The sequence below is a fragment of the Homo sapiens genome, chromosome 3, assembly GCF_000001405.40.
Source record: "Homo sapiens chromosome 3, GRCh38.p14 Primary Assembly".
Lineage (NCBI taxonomy): Eukaryota > Metazoa > Chordata > Mammalia > Primates > Hominidae > Homo > Homo sapiens.
Window position 1 is genome coordinate 131,077,105 of NC_000003.12, and position 17,223 is coordinate 131,094,327.

General features: G+C 37.7%; 1 protein-coding gene and 1 pseudogene across 56 annotated transcripts in view, besides 1 other annotated feature; one reads left to right on the forward strand and one right to left on the reverse strand.

Annotated features, from left to right (window-relative positions):
* NEK11 (NIMA related kinase 11) overlaps nt 1–17,223 on the forward strand; it is a 323,589-nt gene that overhangs the window by 50,228 nt on the left and 256,138 nt on the right. For 45 of the 56 annotated variants that reach the window (XR_001740271.2, NM_001353038.2, NM_001353022.2 and 42 more), the window contains one exon: nt 3,319–3,484. The exons of 3 other annotated variants lie outside the window; for them this stretch is intronic. Coding sequence is in view for 42 of the 53 variants with exons in the window: in NM_001353022.2 (NP_001339951.1) it covers nt 3,319–3,484 (166 nt within the window). In the remaining 11 variants the exon portion in view is untranslated. Of the gene's footprint in view, nt 1–1,379; nt 1,487–3,318; nt 3,485–14,285; nt 14,441–15,163; nt 15,382–17,223 lie in introns of those variants that run through there. 8 more of the 56 variants (NM_001353033.2, NM_001353040.2, NM_001353048.2 and 5 more) reach the window with 4 other exon arrangements.
* Nucleotides 707–1,283: an enhancer, noted in NCBI's record as "OCT4-NANOG hESC enhancer chr3:130796655-130797231 (GRCh37/hg19 assembly coordinates)". NCBI's record gives its function as "activates a minimal SCP1, AML or CMV promoter by ChIP-STARR-seq in naive H9 embryonic stem cells {active_cell/tissue: H9 hESC(naive)}" and the evidence as "EXISTENCE:reporter gene assay evidence [ECO:0000049][PMID:30033119]".
* RNU6-726P (RNA, U6 small nuclear 726, pseudogene) lies at nt 15,717–15,823 on the reverse strand (annotated as a pseudogene).

The following is a 17,223-nucleotide window of genomic DNA, read 5'->3' on the forward strand; positions in this document are numbered from 1 at the left end:
TGCTAGAAAGAAAGAAAGCATGTAACTTGGGAAGTCTCCGGGGATGCCTCGTTTTGCTACTGTCTTGAAATTTCTCCTGAGTTGAGGCTCTGATAAAATAAATGTCTGTCATGTTATTTAGGAGGGGTGACAGGCTGGAATCACTGAGCAAGTGACAAACTGTCCCTTGACTTGGTAAGTTTCCATGCTGTCTTTGGCTGATACAGATCTCGTATTAAGTGATATGCAATGAGAGTTTCCTCTGTCAGCTCAGTGACGTGATTTTAGGTAAGGAAGGTGAACGTCTCCGCATCAGCTAGAGAGATTATAATAGATATCACCTGTCTTAATAGCCCTACCTTCATCTGCTAAACTGTGGACAAATGAGATTTTATGCTTTATCATCAAGGTGCCAGACGGGGCTCAGGTATTTACATTTTATATGTAAAATTGCTCATGCTCTGCTGCACAATAGTTGGTGTTTGCAAGGAAAAATAAGTATCCTGAAGCTTTTTAGAGCATTTATTCCTTCACAGCAAGAGAATATTGCAAGTTGGTAAGACTTTATATTGTCATGCTTAACCACTGTGACTTTTATAACTGCATGCTAGCTGGGGTACAGTAAATTACTGAAAAGCTCTATGAAGATGTCTTTGTGCTTCGCCTGCTGCTTTGTAATCTTCAGTAGTTAAAAAAAGTGTCTTGTATGTCATTTCTAGCTTCTTTGGGTATACTAACAGTCTGAAATGCCACTCCTAATAACATTAGGTCATTTTAAACCAAATTCTTGATAGAACAGCCTTTCTTCAGAGTGTTACCAAGCAGGCATTTCTCTAGAATCTACTTCTTATTAAATAGGAGCCTAATAGGCTGTTTAAAACCAATGTGAAAACACGTTAGGGGAAGGAAGACAAGTGTTCCAACTTTCTGTATTGCAGTCACATTTAAAGACACCTGTTAATGGCATAGTTGAGTCCTTGCCTGTGAGGTTCCTGAGGCAGAGCTGCCCTTTCTAATGCAAATTGGCCTCCTCTTTGTGGAAGCAGCTTATGCCTGCTGTTGGTTGTCTTTTGGGAATGAGATGAGTTCAGAATGGGAAGACCATGGAGAATATTTAAAGTGAATAAAATATTAAAGGACTCAAATTTCAGGGGAAGTGACTTCCCAGTAATGGTCATCTTGGATTAGAAGGTTTTCCTTATGAGATTTTTGGAGAATGGAAACTTAACCCAGCTTTTATTGCTCTGGGAAAAAAAAGGTCAAACGTTACCCAACCCCGGAATAGGATAAGGGCACTTTCTACATTTTCCTACTTAGGCTCTCAGCTTCTAGGACAGATTTCCTAACTTAGAATTGTAACGAGTTTTTAATTTTGTTTTGTTTTGTTTTTTTAATTGTAGTCTCTCACTGAGAAATGGGATGGGGGAATACTATACAATAGTGTGCTGACTGCAATATCAAAACTTCTAGACCCTGAATATGAAACAAGAAGAAAGCTCTACCTCTGGTAATGCCTGAGGATATTACGGTTCTTCCATTGTAAAACAGAGGGAGAGGCTTGTTTGAATTACTGAGAAGTTAATAGCATAATCACATTTTTAAAAATGGTAGAAGCTCTTCTCTCCAATGTGATTGAAGCTGGTACTTGGTTAAAAAAAGGAAACAATTTTAAAATAAAATGACATTAATTAAAACATTTACATCAACTTAAAATATATAACTGTACATTTTCTCCAGTTTTTGGCTGTATAGCCAGCATCCAATGTCCTCTGGTTAGAGACTCCTTCATCTTTTTTTTTTTTTTGCATAAACTACATCCATAAAATATATATTATTTTTATATTATTTTTTAGGACCTAGTTTTCTAGATTTATTTTCTGTAACAATCTGAATTCAGAATACTAGATTTTCACATTTTTAACCTTTTTAGAACTGTCTTTTCAGTTACTTGACAGCTGTTTATTTTTGCAACTTTTTATTTTCAAGTTTTTTGGTAATCATTTGACTTAGTTTTCCTAGCAGAGATAACTTTCACGCTCACTCTTCATTTAAGTTATATTGAAGTCATAAATTTACAATGATGAGCATAACTGGCATTAGCAGGCTTGGGAATAAACACAATGACTTGGTAAGCATACATCTCAACTGGGAGGGCAGAAGTTCATGGGCATGCCAAGGAGAGCTTATTAGCTGGAGGCATTCCCTGTGGCAAGGGCATCTGTCAGCATCTGTTAGGAAGGACTGGAGAATGATGGTTAATCTATGCATTGGTTAAAGGGCCTAAAGAAATTTTCTACTATAATACATTTTTATTGATATGCATAAGTAGCAACTCCTAAAGAAGATTTTTGTAAAATGTTTTCTAGTACAGGTCCTGCAGCACTTGCCCTAATGAACTGCCAATGCTTGCTTATAATCATCAGACTGTGTCTGCAAACATAATTGGTGTTCTAAAGTATTTTTTCCTATAGTCTAGTTCACACTTTGGTACTATAATTGATTTGTTTATCAGACTCTTTTTTTTCTTAGATGGGAAGAGATAATGTTTTGGTCTATTCCCAAAGAGTTATCACAATTTTTAAATTAATGACTTGGGGATTTAATGAGCTCTTCTTTCATTTATACATGTTAGAAATACTAAATATCTCTATTAATGTTTTTAGTTAATTTTTCCTGTTAAATACTGGTAGTAATGAAGTATGATATGCCAAGGATAGTTTTAAAAAGAAAATAAATAAATATTGCTCCTATTGATATTAAGTCGATATATTTGGAAAATTTTAAGCTGAGAGAGAGAAGCATGCCTGTGAGTGTGTGTAAATACATGTAAATACATACACAGAGGCAAAGAGAGACACAGAAAGAGGCAGAGACACAGAAGGAAAGATAGGCAAAGAAAGAATAAGATACAGGGAGACAGAGTGATGGATTACATATATATATGTGTGTGTGTGTTTGTGTGTGTGTGTGTGTGTGTGTGTGTATGAACACACATAGAAAGAGACAGACAGAAATAGATAACTATAAGAGAAACCAAGAGACACTGAAACATCTAGAGAGGTGGAGGAAGGGCCACCCCAGCAATATTGCTCAAGATTAGTTCCATGGCTGCCCTTATAGAACTGTAGGATACACAGATGAGGAGGTCAGAGGCCTTGGGGAAGCAGGACAGGAAAACAGGCCCAGGTCCCACCAGGAGACACAGTGTCATAATAGGCAATACCAGATATATGAGTAGGTCACAACCTGGGCATTAATTAATGGCTCTGTACCACTTGATGATATTTGTTAAATGTGTTTTTCAGCTCTAAATGTTTTTAAAATTTTTTTTGATCTCAGAAAGGTACTTAAGGAAATATCTGTTGGAGAACTAAATCCAAATGAAACTGTACAGGCCAATTTGGAAGCCCAACTCCTCTCCAAGCTGGACCACCCAGCCATTGTCAAGTTCCATGCAAGTTTTGTGGAGCAAGATAATTTCTGCATTATCACGGAGTACTGTGAGGTGAGACTCTCCTTTTCTCTTGGAAGTCTTTATAAAAACTTGCTGAATGGTAAAAAGCCTTCTGTAAAGAGATCTTAAAAGTCCAATTATCACACCATAAATTGAACTGTAAAGACCTGGGATCCCATGTCTTGCAGCTAAGAATGATTATCTGTAGATAATTGACAAAACTTGTTTCTAAGGAAGGGTTTTTCCCTCCATTGGCAAACTCAGTAAAAAAGAATATATTTTAAGGTGGAGGCCAGGTGTGGTGGCTCATACTTGTAATCCCAGCACTTTGGGAGGTTGAAGTGAGAGGATTGCTAATCCAGGAGTTCGAGACCAGACTAGGAAACATAGTAAGACCTCCATCTCTACAGAAAATTAAAAAAATTAGCCGGGCGTGGTTGTATGAGCCTGTAGTTCCAGCTAGCGAAGAGACTGAGGCAGGAGGATTGCTTGAGCCTAGCAGTTCAAGGCTTCAGTGAACTGGGACCATGCCATCGCTCTCCAGCCTGGGCGATAGAGTGAGACCCTATCTCTAAGAAAAACAAAAAACAAAAAGGAGAAATTACTGCAGAAGAATGCATCAACAATTTTTTGATAGGGGGAAGGGCAAACCTTCTAGAATGGTCTGATGCTTAGACGGACATTTAAATGCTCTAACAGATGCTTGGTTAGAGTAGAGGTATATGTCCTGAGTTTTGGATTCCAGCTCTATGGTTTAATTTCTTCAGTGGAAGTTTGGAAATGGAAATATGGCTTTTTTCCCCACAAGAATTCCTCATATTTATCAATTTGTGGTTTACAGCTTGAAGTATTTACAGTTTTTCCAACCACTCTGAGTTCTATCCAAGTAATAGCTGTGTATTTTACTGAGCCCCAAGGGAGTGTGAAGCTGCTTAGAGAAGTGGGAGAGGGGAAAGTGGACAATGTGTAGCTGCAGTGTGAATCTGTGTGTTTACTCCTGAGACATTATGGAGAGAGGATTGACAGGGCTTGGGTCAGGTAGAGAATACCCAAAGATGACTACGCTCAAAAAGTATCTCCCAGAATATTATGGAAGCTAGGGTTAGCCAAATGCACCTTGGGAGAATTTGGTACTGTTCATACTTTAGGATGAAGTCAGCTTATCACTTGGATGTTGCTGGAGCCCAAAAGACATGAGGGAAAAAAGATGCTCTTTAGAGTAGACGGCAGTTCTGTTTGGGCCAGAAACTTTGGACAACTCGACCTAACTTGAAGGTGCCATTTGTTTGAGAGAGAGAAAAGAAGAGACAGGAGAAAGAAAAGAAGCTCAGAAGGAAAAGGGATAGCAGCGAGAACAACCTTGCCTGCTTTACACATTAGCTGATGTATCACCCAAAATGAAACCAATAGCCAAGTTAAAATATCTGAACAAGTTTGAAATATTCCATGTCTTGGCCATTCCCCTTCAGGTCAGCCTCAGCCTTGCTGGGTATTTTCCCATCTATGTCTTGACCCTGCTTTGCTTGGAGGAAAGTGGACAGGGTGGAGGGTGAGTGGAGAAGAACCAGGTCATTTGGATATCTGGTTGTCCATCATCCAGTGGATTGCTGAGAAAATCAGTAAGATGATGTCAGGTGTGATCAGTGATATTGAATATTTACTCTGGCAAATATGTCACCAATTCGTGCAAAACTACAGATACTTGCATATGCATATGTTGCATACTATGATCCACCTGCTATAATTTGTTCATATTTCTTCTTTAGCCTCCTTCAGTTAATAAACTGTGTTATTTTAGAAACAACTGACTCATACTGCTTATAACTATTACTGCTACCTCTATTGCTGCTTTTAGGACATTGACTTTTTCAAAGACTCTTTCCATGTCTTAGAATATTTTAAACTGTAGTCAGCACTATTTCACAGAACTTTCTGTGCTGATGGAAATGGGCTATAGTTGTGCTGTCTAATATAGTAGTCGCTAGTCATATACATGGCTCTTTAGCACTTGCTGTGCGGATAGTGCAGTTGAGGGCCTGGATGTTAAATTTTATTTAAATTTAGTTAGTTTAAATTTAAATAACCATATGTGGCTCCTCGCTACCGTATTAGACATACATAGTATATGTTGCTATAACTTTCTTTCCCTGTATTAATTGAAAAAATTTATAATTTTAATGTAATTTTAAACTACCAGAAATGTTACAAGAGTAACACAATGAACTTCCATATGCCCTTTATCCAGATTCCCAAATTGTTATTTTTCCACATTTGCTTTATCTTTCTACCTACATTTTTTAATGAACCATTTGAGAATAAGTTTCAGACATGATGCTCCTTTGTCCTAAATATAATACAGCTGTGAGTATTTTCTAAGACCAAGGACATTCTTTTATGTAACCATAGTACAGTAATCAAAATCAGGAAATCAACAGTGATACAATGCTAGTATGAAACCCAGTGGTTCTCAAAGTGTGACCCCAGACCAGTATCATCAGCATCACTTGGGAACTTGCTAGAAATACAAATTCTTTGCCTCTACCCCAGCCAGCTGCATTGAATCAGAAATTCTGGGGGTGGGGTTCTGGCAATCTGTGTTTTGACAAGCCTGCCAAATGAGCCCAAAGCATACTGAATTTCGAGAATCACCCATCTAATTCACAGTCTATATTGTCTGAATTACATTCTTAGAAGGGACAGTTCTATAAGATTTTTGTTGTTGTTGCAGAGGATCTCATCCGGAATCATCTGTGTTGATTTTTAAATGATGGGTGGTTTCAGTGGGCTGAGCTGCTCTCCCGGGAGGGGCTGTTGCCATGGTGATGGCTGCTGGCAGTGCTGAGAGACAGCTGTGGGGCCGCCTGGGCTCTGTGTGCCACTGAGCTGGCAGGTTGCCACTTCCCTGGACTCCTGAGGAGTGACTTGCACAGATTGCTCCGTTCTTGTTAACAGAGATATTTCTCATCATCAGACCCAAATTTACTCTTAACTGGCACAGGGCTGGTGTTATCCTTTTTATTAAGGTAAAATAATAGTATAGGAAATGGCAGGTGACCAAAATTGCACCTCATAGAAAAATGCTATCACTACCATTGAAATGGCTTATCTCTTTATCTCCAGGTTCCCTCTTCTGTAATTTAATTTGGGGCCTTTCAAGACTGAAATATATAAATGCATTAGTGAGGCTTCTGCATCTACTACCTAACCCTTTGGACACATACATCAGATTATGAGTGTAAAACAGCAGACAACTGAACTCTCATAATTTCTGGTCAAGATTTAACCAAATCTTTGATGGGGAATAGTTCCAAAACTACCAGAATGGCAGAATATTTCAAATATTGGTGTCTTCTATTTTCCTCCATGTAGGAAGGAAATGGAACTACTGCCCATCCTCCACAGTTTCACACCTTTTCATCTTTGCTTAGGCCATATCCTCTGAGAATGCCCTTCCTCCTAGTCCCACATCTTCAAATCTTACCCTGACTCCCAGGCCCAGCTTAAATGCCACCTCCTCTCTCATAATCAAAGTTTCCAATAAACAAGGTTCCTTTCCCATAAACAAAGCCTCTCATAAACTCGTGGCTAGAAATCACTCCCCACCCCAATCCCAATCCCCTCAACTCTCACAGAATCTTTATCTCTCATGGTACAAAGCACAGTTTACATCATATGAGCCATGTCAGATTCTCAGCATGTGGGATTGATCTTTTTCTGATTCATTTTTCTATCACATCGTGGACCCACATAGTGAACCACAAAGAAGTTAGCACTCAAGATATTTTTTGATGTATTCTTTACCTCTTGGTTCCAGCTGCCTCCCACCTGATTTCTGTCAAACACTAATGGTAATGATAAAATATTGAATCCTTCTACCTGTTGTATATGTTAAAAGTATTTTGTCCTACCTTACTGTGCTGATATACCTAACAATGTGCTGCACTGGAGACCTGTGAGATACTGCCTGAAAGTCTTCCATTTGGGTGAAGACAAGGCATCTCCAGAAACCTAGGCATTAAATTAGTAGACACACTAGAGAATGGGTGAGATCACATATCTTCAGGAGAGGGTGGTGGTAGTGGTTGTGGTGGAGAGAACATATGATAGGGAAAAAGGCAGGAAATGTTGGACTTCTCTATTTTCTGCTTGGTGACATTAACATAGGTAAATAAAAATTTTATCAATGTAGTACTAGTTCTCAACATTGGCTGCATCTTAGAATCACCTGAAGAGCTATCAAAAATCCTGAGGCCTGAGGCCCACCTCTGGAAAGTCTGATTTAATTGATCCTCGGAAATGGCCCAGGCATCAGGGTTTTGAGAGTTCTCCAGGTGATTCTAAAATGCAGCCAGGGCTGAGAATGGCAAAATAAATAATTTTAAAAATTCAAAAGGAGAGAATAGTTAGTGTGGAAATAGACAAATAGTCATAAAGGAAAAATTTGTCATTATTGGTGGAGCACTAAGCAAAGATGAGGCCCAGAGCTGAGAACAAGAGAGTCTGGCCCTGTAGTGAGTGTAGTTTTATGATCAAGCCATTTAGCCTGTTGCTCTTATTCACGAAAATTGCACAACTTGTTCTCCTTGCTTCCCAGGCAACCTTCTGATCCTAATTTAGCTTTCCATATATGTCTCCTCTAATAGGAAAAAATATGCTGGCTAACCTGAGATGAGTTCCCTATTGCCTTGGCAGTTTTAGCTCTCATTGTGTATGAATACGTTGGCAATCTGGATTATTTATTGATGCCTTATGAACTTGAAGTTCACAATGGCAATTGTAATCAAGGGACTTTCCAAAAGCCATTACTGAGCCCCAGATCTGTGTCAGATACAATTATAGTCATTGTGTGGCATAACAGAGATAATATGATAATATTTAATGAATTTTCAGGTAGGATTAATGAGTCATTTATATCAGTTGCTAAAATACAAGGGGGAGTGTGGTATGTGTTATGGGAAGGGTATGGTTAAAGTGCTGTGGGGGTAATAGGAGAGAGAAATGACTTCTGACCATGGGAACCATGAAGGGGCTAGCATTCTATTTGAGTTCGCAGTACGGGAAAGATTAGGCCAAGAAGAATAGAGCAAGGACATTTCAGCTAAATGGAATGATGTGATAAAAGGCTCAGAGGTAGAAAAGCATGGGATGTGATTTAGGAACCCAGTACTTCACCTTTAATTGTAATATGTTTGCAGTTAAATACATTCCCTAATTTTAACAACTTATATAATCATAGTATAATTATCAAAACTAGGAAAATTAATATTTTACTAGTTTTCCCCTTTATGCCTTTGGTCTATTCTAGGATCCAATCCAGGATTCTACATTGCATTTAGTTCTATTTCTTTAGTCTCCTCTAATCTGTGACAATTTCCCTTTCCTGCCTTGTTTTTTATGAATTTGACACTTTTGATGGGTAACTGGCAAGCTATTTTGTAGAATGTCTCTCAGTTTGGGTTTGTCTAATGTTTTATCACGATTAGATTGAGGTTACATATTCTTGGCAAGACTACTACAATAGTAGTATTGTATTCTTCTCAGTACATCATATTAAGGGGTACCAGCTGTATCTTATTACTGATGATGTTAACTTTGATCACTTGGTTAAGGTTCTGTCTTGTGGGGTTTTTCACTGTAAAGTTACTATTTTTTCCCTTTGAAATTGATAAATATCCTGGGTAAGATAGTTTGAGAGTTTTCTATTAATAATAGCCTGTTTCTTTTCAAATCTTCACTCATTAATTTTAGTCTCTTTCAGTGAAGTTGCCTGTGGCGATTCTTACTCTCTATTCTTTACCTAATTGTGATTATATATTTCTCTCATTCTTTCTGTATTTACTAATTGGTATTCCACTGTAAGGAAGAGCTGCTGCTTCTCCTCCATCCATGTATTTTTTCAGTTATTTATTTATATTAGTATGAACTCATGGATTTTAAAATATTATATGGGTTACACCCAGTACCGTCACTGTTTATTTTGTTGCTCAAATTGTTCCAACTTTGGCTAATGGGGTTCCTTCAGATTGGCTCCTGTGTCTTTTTAACATGCCCCTATCCTTTTTTGAGGAGAAGTAAATTCTTGCTTATTAATTCCATTTTACAGATGAAGAAACAGGACCCCAGAAAGTGGAGTGATTTTCTGACTGTTAAATCCAGGGCAGAACTAGGACCAGGGGTATTGGGATAGATGCTCCTTTTCTTGGCTTATTCTCAATTATTTTCAGTGTCTTTATCCATCTCTATTTCTATAATACATATACATATTCACATAAACTATTTGTACACAAATGCAAATTTTAATGTGATGATATGATTATTTTCTCTCAATGGAAGACTAGATAAGGTTTTAAATAGTGGGAAGTGTGTAGACTTTGGCATCTCCTATTCAAATCTTTGTCCATTTCCTTCAGCAAATTATTTCATTTCTCTGACCCGTTTTTCTTAAGAGAGTATAACATATATTTTGTTTTTATAGGGATTTGAAATAATGAATGTTGAAAAAGTGACTATCAGAGCTTTTCTCCTAGTAGATTTTCAATAATGAAAGTTATTATAATTGTTCGTTATTTCACTGTTACTCACCCCCCTTTCCTCCCTCCGGCTGTTTTCTAGAAGTAAAGCTAGTTTTTACCTCTGAGATTTTGTCGTGCAGCCTTTAGTATGAGGATTCATGCCAAAAGGAAGAAATATGCAAATTCTTTTTTTTTTTTTTTTTTTTTTTGAGACAGAGTCTCACCTCATTGCCAGGCTGGAGTGCAATGAATGGCACAATCTCAGCTCACTGCAACCTCTGCCTCCCAGGTTCAAGCAATTCTCCTGCCTCAGCCTCCCGGGTAGCTGTGACTACTGGCGCGTGCCACCACGCCCAGCTAATTTTTGTATTTTTAGTAAAGATGGGGTTTCTCCATGTTGGCCAGGATGTTCTCCATCTCCTGACCTTGTGATCCGCCCACGTCAGCCTCCCAAAGTGCTGGGATGACAGGCGTGAGCCACCGTGCCCGGCCGCAAATTCTTAACCACTAATAGGCCTGCTAGTAACTTTGAGGCAAGTACTTTCCGAACTGATTGTACTATAAAACGGAACATTTGAAATTTCCTCATATGTTTCTTTTTTATGCAAAAGTATTTAAACAAACCAAGTAAGCGGGTTGAGTTTTGCAATCTTGAATCTCTAGTGCGTGTCAATAGACTATTAGAAGTAAATTTGGCAATGACGTGCAGCCACCAGGCTTACTAGTTCTCAGAGGGTCCTTGTAGAACTTCATATTGGGTGTGTTGTGTCTAGTATTAGAAACAAATCCTTTTCTGTGCTTCAGAACAACTGCTTATAGTCCTGAAGCCTGTTTGGGACCACCACCCCCCAGAATTGGTTATTTATAGATGAGGAACACCCCTGGAATTTGACCATTGTGACATTGATTGGTGATCATCCTTCCTACTGTGAACTCAAATCAGGCATCCACACATTGGGGCTGTCCACACCTCAGGACTGTCTTCAGTGGTTTGCATTGCTGGGATTGCTGCTGATTGAAGGAACTAAGCATTGTTTTCAGAGTGGTGGGTCCCATCGGGGCCCTCTGATTTTCCTGGGCAGCTCCATCTAGGAGTAGGTAGGCCTCCCTGAATTTATCCTGTGTCAATTCTATGGGTCTAGATTTTGTCCAGTTGGGGAAGGCTGTAAATAATACGAGTGTCTAATGTTTTTATATACCTAAACTGATCCATTTGTGATTTTTATAAGTATCAAAATTAAAGTCATTTGGTTTGTTCCATTTACTTTCTTTCTTAAACTATGAAATATTTTGACCTTTTAATGAAAAACAATAAAAAATAAGACCACTGATTTTTACCTAAAATTGTTAAATCTAACAATTGAAAAGCAAGACTAGTTTCATTGAAAAGAAATGCACTAATGCACTAATAGAAAGCAATCTGCAAACCCAGTAGAGTTTATGACATTTGGGGTAAGGCTTTAGCTGTCATATGAATTTATATAAATACAAGTGTTTAAAAATAGAATCACACTAATTTATTTCAAATGGTTTTTTTTTAAAAAACCCTGTGCTTTATAGATAAAAGCATTATTTCACATTATTTCATATCACCTAAGAATAAGTTCTGCCATTTCTTATTCATCTACATTTACCTCAGCAAAAAGAACACTATCTCTAAAAGAATTTGAAAAAAATACTAACTAAACTCAAGATGTTCATTTATATTATTAGAAATGAAAATCATAATACTGCATGGCATTCTTCAGTACCTATTTAGAAGCTGGTTTTTTTCTTGTTTTGCTTTTAAGAGCATAATGTGGCTTGACATTTCCCCCACGTTTTATGCAGTCTCTTAAAGTGCACTTCCAAAATTCTAGGAAAATGTCCTTGGGTTGTACAATATAATGACAAAGGATCTCCTCCCTCACTGCCTTTACCTCCATTTATTGGTATTCTCCTAAGTAATGAAACAGAGTTTCAAAAACATGTTATTGTAAAATGACTCTTATTCAGCCCTGCCTTTCTCAAGTACATCTTTTGCCTTTGGAGTTGTTCAAATTTTAGACAAAATGTTTCCACTGACAGGCTAAATATTAAGTACATGGCCTGTTTATATTATTGCCTAGCATCATGCCTCAAAGTTTGTTCCATGGACCACCTGTCCTAGAGTCACGAAGGATGCTTGTTGAAAATACAGATTCCTTGGGTCTATGTGGATTTACTGAGTTGGAGTTATTGTTGCTAATGTCTAGGGATATGCATTTTAAACAAGCAACTTGGAAGATTCTGATGTATAAAATTTGAGGTCCACTGGAAGGATGCTTATTTAATGGAGATATGGTAGGCTATGAAGAACAGCATTTAAAATGTCAATCCAGTGAATTAATAAGGGAAGCTTTTTCATTATTTTATTTTGTTTTATTTTGCGATGGAGTCTTGCTCTATTGCCCAGTCTTGAGGGCAGTGATGGGATCTTGGCTCACTGTAACCTCTGCCTCCTAGGTTCAAGTGATCCTCCTACTTCAGCCTCCCGAGTAGCTGGGATTACAGGCATGTGCCACCACGCCTGGCTAATTTTTGTGTTTTTAGTAGAGACGGGGTTTCATCATGTTGGCCAGGCTGGTCTCGAACTCCTGACCTCAAGTGATCTGCCTGCCTTGGCCTCCGAAAGTGCTGGGATTACGGGCATGAGCCACTGCACCCAATCTGCATTTACTGAGTCAGAGTTATTGATGATAATGATAATGATAGTTGATGATAATAGGGATATGCATTTTAAACAAGCAACTTGGAAGATTTTGATGCATAATATTTGAGGTCCACTGGAAGAATGCTTATTTAATGGAGATATGGTAGGGTGTGAAGGAAGAGCATTTTAAGTTGTCAGTCCAGCGAATTAATAACGGAAGCTTTTTCATTTTAAAATAAAAAGCAGGACAGAATAATTTTTGAAGTTCCTTTTAGCCTTAAACATTGCAGGGGTTTTTTTGTTTTTGTTTTTGTTTTAAATTCAGGCTTCTGAGAATGCTCTTCTTTTGTCTTTTAAGGTTGTAAGTGCTTTGATTGCCAATGTTAATACAAGGATTAATTTTTAAAATCAAATCCTTTTAGGATTTAAAATTTGATAATAACGATCAAAGGTGGGGTTAAGAACACTGAATTTGGGTTGTTCTTCATTTCTTTAAAGCCTCGACATTTCAAAGGCAATCTGTCATTGGCTAACTGGGATGGTGAAAGGAGGAGATACTATTAATCCATCAAATGTTACAGTTTGGGTTACAGATTTTCAAAACCTTAGAAGTTAACATCAAGTCTTTTATTGCAACCTTCAAGGGATAATCTTAGTGAAGGAAAACATTTTTTGATAGCTGTATAGACTTAGGGCAATATTAATTTTGGGTCAGTTAAAGTCAATACATTTTTCATGAAAGTTATTTTAGCAATAAAAGTCACTATTAAATATTTCTCAAGGACAAAGTTAAGAAAACAGAATATACTTACAGATATTGTAATAAGAATTTCTTAGACCAACGCATTACATTTCATCAAAAACATTAGCTTTTTACTTTAAAGACAGCTTAGAGAAAGAAAGTAATGCTTTTCATATTGCTGAGTTAAAATCAGACTAAAAACTGTATTTCTTTGTTGTGTCAAATCATAATTTGTTGTGTCTAAATCTTTGAGTGACTTGTCTATCATAATTAAATCCTTAGAAAAAATCAGAGGTTTTTGTTTATTTTTTGTGTTTTTTGAGATTGGGGTTTCATTCTGTCACCAGGCTGGAGTGCAGTGGTGCAATCATAGCTCACTGCAGCCTCAATCTCCTGGACTCAAATGCTCTTCCCACTCCACGCTCGCAAGCAGCTGAGAATATAGGCATGACACCAGGCTGGGCTAATTTTAAAATTGTTTTTTAGAGATGGGATCTTGCTATGTTGCCCAGGCTGGTTTCAAGCTCCTGGCATTAAGTGATCATCCTACCTCAGCCACCTGAATTACTGGGATTACAGATGTGAGTGATTGCATCTGGCTGTGTTTATTAAAGAACACAGTAAATGCAAAACAAATAGTTTTTCTTGAGGATAAACATGTAAAATGGAAATAGGAAGAATAACTTAAGAAGCACAAGACACAGATCTTGGATTAATTTAATCTTTCAGTGTTCTCTCTTCCTGTTGATTTCACATAGCCCTTGCTTAATGCTAAAAACAGATATCTTTCTTCTTTTTAAAGTTCTACCCAGAAGGCAATGGGGAGTTTGGCTATTTCCTTTGGACATTTCACTTTGAGGCCTGTTATTGAAGGCCCTTTTCTGGTTTTTCCTTCAATAGTCTAAATATATATTTATTTAATTACAGGAAATCAGGCACTTAATATCAATGCAGGAAACAGACATAAAACTTTTACCCACCTCTGTTGTTCTGCATCTCTCCTTCCACTTGAAAGATTGTAAGCAGGTGATTGTCAGACCAACAATAAATGTCACTCAGAGAGCATGCATCCATATGGCAAGGTAACCCAGAAAACATAATTATGCTCATTCACAAAAAATAAAGAAGTTGATATAAAATGTATAGAATTTAATATTTCTTTAACACAGTTTAAAAATGACAATAGGATGTGAAAAGCAGCATTGCAGTTTGGGGATAAATTCCTGAAAGGAATGCTATTTTAATGCACAAATGTCTCCAAATTTTAGTATTATAACTGTTAAAATAAAAACTTTAAATAAATTAAATTTACCAAAGTTTATTTGAGCACACACAAAAAAAATTTCTTGAATTGGGCAAACTTCAGAACTAGAAGGAGTTCGGAGAGCTCTTTCTGCCCAGCAACCTGAGCAATGAGCTTTTATAGGATGGACACAAAAGCAAACCAGAGAAATCATTTGATTAGCTATAGCTAGGCATTTGCCTTATTTGGGCATGGTGTGATGATTTGGCTGCCTGTGATTGGCTGAAACTCAGCTATTTCTTCTGTGTATTGGTTTGTTTACATACTACGTTAGGGTGAGGTTTGCTGCACAGGAATGCAAGGTATGGAGGCAGCTTCAGGCCAAATTTAAGTTAATTTAACAATTTCTCCCTATTAGTCAGTCTCTCAAAATTGGGCATTGATGCCACTCTGTCACCATCGTCATGGACTTTTTTGGTCTTGGTATGAAATACATAATTCATGGCATCAGGCTAGTTGAATGATTCCTTATGTTCTCTTTGTGTTTTTGTTGTTTTAACAGTAGTGAGACCATTTGATGTACAACAGATGGCTGTATATGAGCATTTAAGACACTTGAGAGAATATAGAACACCAGGGAGACTATTGTGATGGTTATCAGGAGGATAATACTAAGAGAGTGAAGTGTATTCCTTAACAGAGGCCACCATGAACCAAAACAATTATAATAAAATGAATCAAAAAAATGAGCCAGAAGAGGAATCTACTTGTTTTAACCAAGTAACTTGTTTGTTTACTTTTTAAAACTGAGTTTCTACCGTATCAGACATATTTATGAAAGGGCAGCATGAGATGTTAGCCACTGCATACATATTCCCATGTTCATCGAGTAGTCCAAAACAGTCTAAAACAATGTTAGCAAGAGAATTTATAAAGGATTCTGGGCAACGATAGCCTTTGCAATAGAGTCAGCTATAGTAGCTAATATTTGAGACAGATTTCTAATAATAACTCTATATACATTTATGCCAAGCCAAAGAAGAACCATTCTACAAAAGATGCCCATTTAGAGTGATTTAAGCCTGCCGGAAAGTTCCTCTTTATTATTTTTGTTTTTAAATATGGAACGCTTCATGAATTTCCGTGTCATCCTTGCACAGAGGCCATTCTAACCTCCTCTGTATCATTCCAATTTTAGTATATGTGCTGCCAAAGCAAGCACAATTTCTCGTTAATCCATGGCACAAATTAAGAGATACAGAACAATGTTCAGTTTCCAGTTGCTTATGAAGTGACAGTGGTACTGTTAGAATCTCTAATCCACATTGGTCCCTTATTTTCCACTTGAGACAAGGAGTTGCCCACACATATGGTTGATCATTAAATCCTCCACAGATAAAAATATATCCTGGAGGGGCACAAGAGACAGTTCCTTGTGTGATACTTTGTGTGTTAGAAATCACCAGTTGGGAAGCACTGGTAATATTTATCCAAGGGTCCATTATTGAATCATTGTATGGTAGATTACTTCTTACCAATAAGAAGGGATTAGGGTTATAAAGTTGTCTACAAACTGTCAACTTATCTTTCTTTTGGTTTTCTTAGTTTCTGGCATAATTTAGCTGCAAAACCCTCAATATAGGTTTTTCCTACTATTAGATTTAAACAAGAGTCTGAATATATGAATCTAAAAACCCAATCATGTGGAAAGAACCAGATGTGCAATTTTTTTTTTTGAGACAGAGTCTCGCTCTGTCTGTCAGGCTGGAGTGTGGTGGCATGATCTCAGCTCAGTGCAATCTCCGCCTCCTCAGCTCAAGCAATTCTCCTGCCTCTGAGTAGCTAGGATTACAGGCGTGTGCCACCACGCTTGGCTAATTTTTGTATTTTTAGTAGAGATGGGGTTTCACCATGTTGGCCAGGTTGTTCTCGAACTCCTGACCACCCGCCTCTGCCTTCCAAAGTGCTGGGATTACAGGCGTGAGCCACTGCGCTTAGCCCAGATGTGCAATTTGAACAAATAGTCACCCTTGGAATATTAGTGAAATTTGTTACATGGTGAACTAGAATATCTCTAAGATCATATAGGGATTCAGGTTTAACATGACATAGTCAACATTCAGTCTAGTTCCCTGCAAAAGCTATCAATTATGAAATCTTAATTATCACATTATCTTGCCATATATAAACAGAAAAGAAAACAAAGAGGAAAGGGAACAAAGATTTCATAGTGACAGAGGAGAACAGTCTTGACCTGTGATCTTGGGAAAGCTGTCCACATCTAGGATGCCATTTGCTTCTGGAGAAAAGCTTCCCTAGTCAGCTTTACCTTGAGATCTCCAGTGGATTTACTGTCCCAAGAGTCTGGAGGGGCTCTCTTGAGTTGAGATATAGGGATCCAAGGCTTGAGGCCCTGAAATTTTGCAGTAGTGTGGGTGGTGGGAAGAACTTGGTATGATCTTTTTCAGTGAGGCTCAAGGGCAGTCTTTCTCTGGTGTTGCTTCCAAAAGACCCATTCAGTGGGTTCTAGATCATGAAAGATCTAGTTGTCATCAGCTGGTGGGTCACAAAGGGTTTCTTTTAACTGGTAAAAATATACTTTAGCATAATGCATTAAAATCT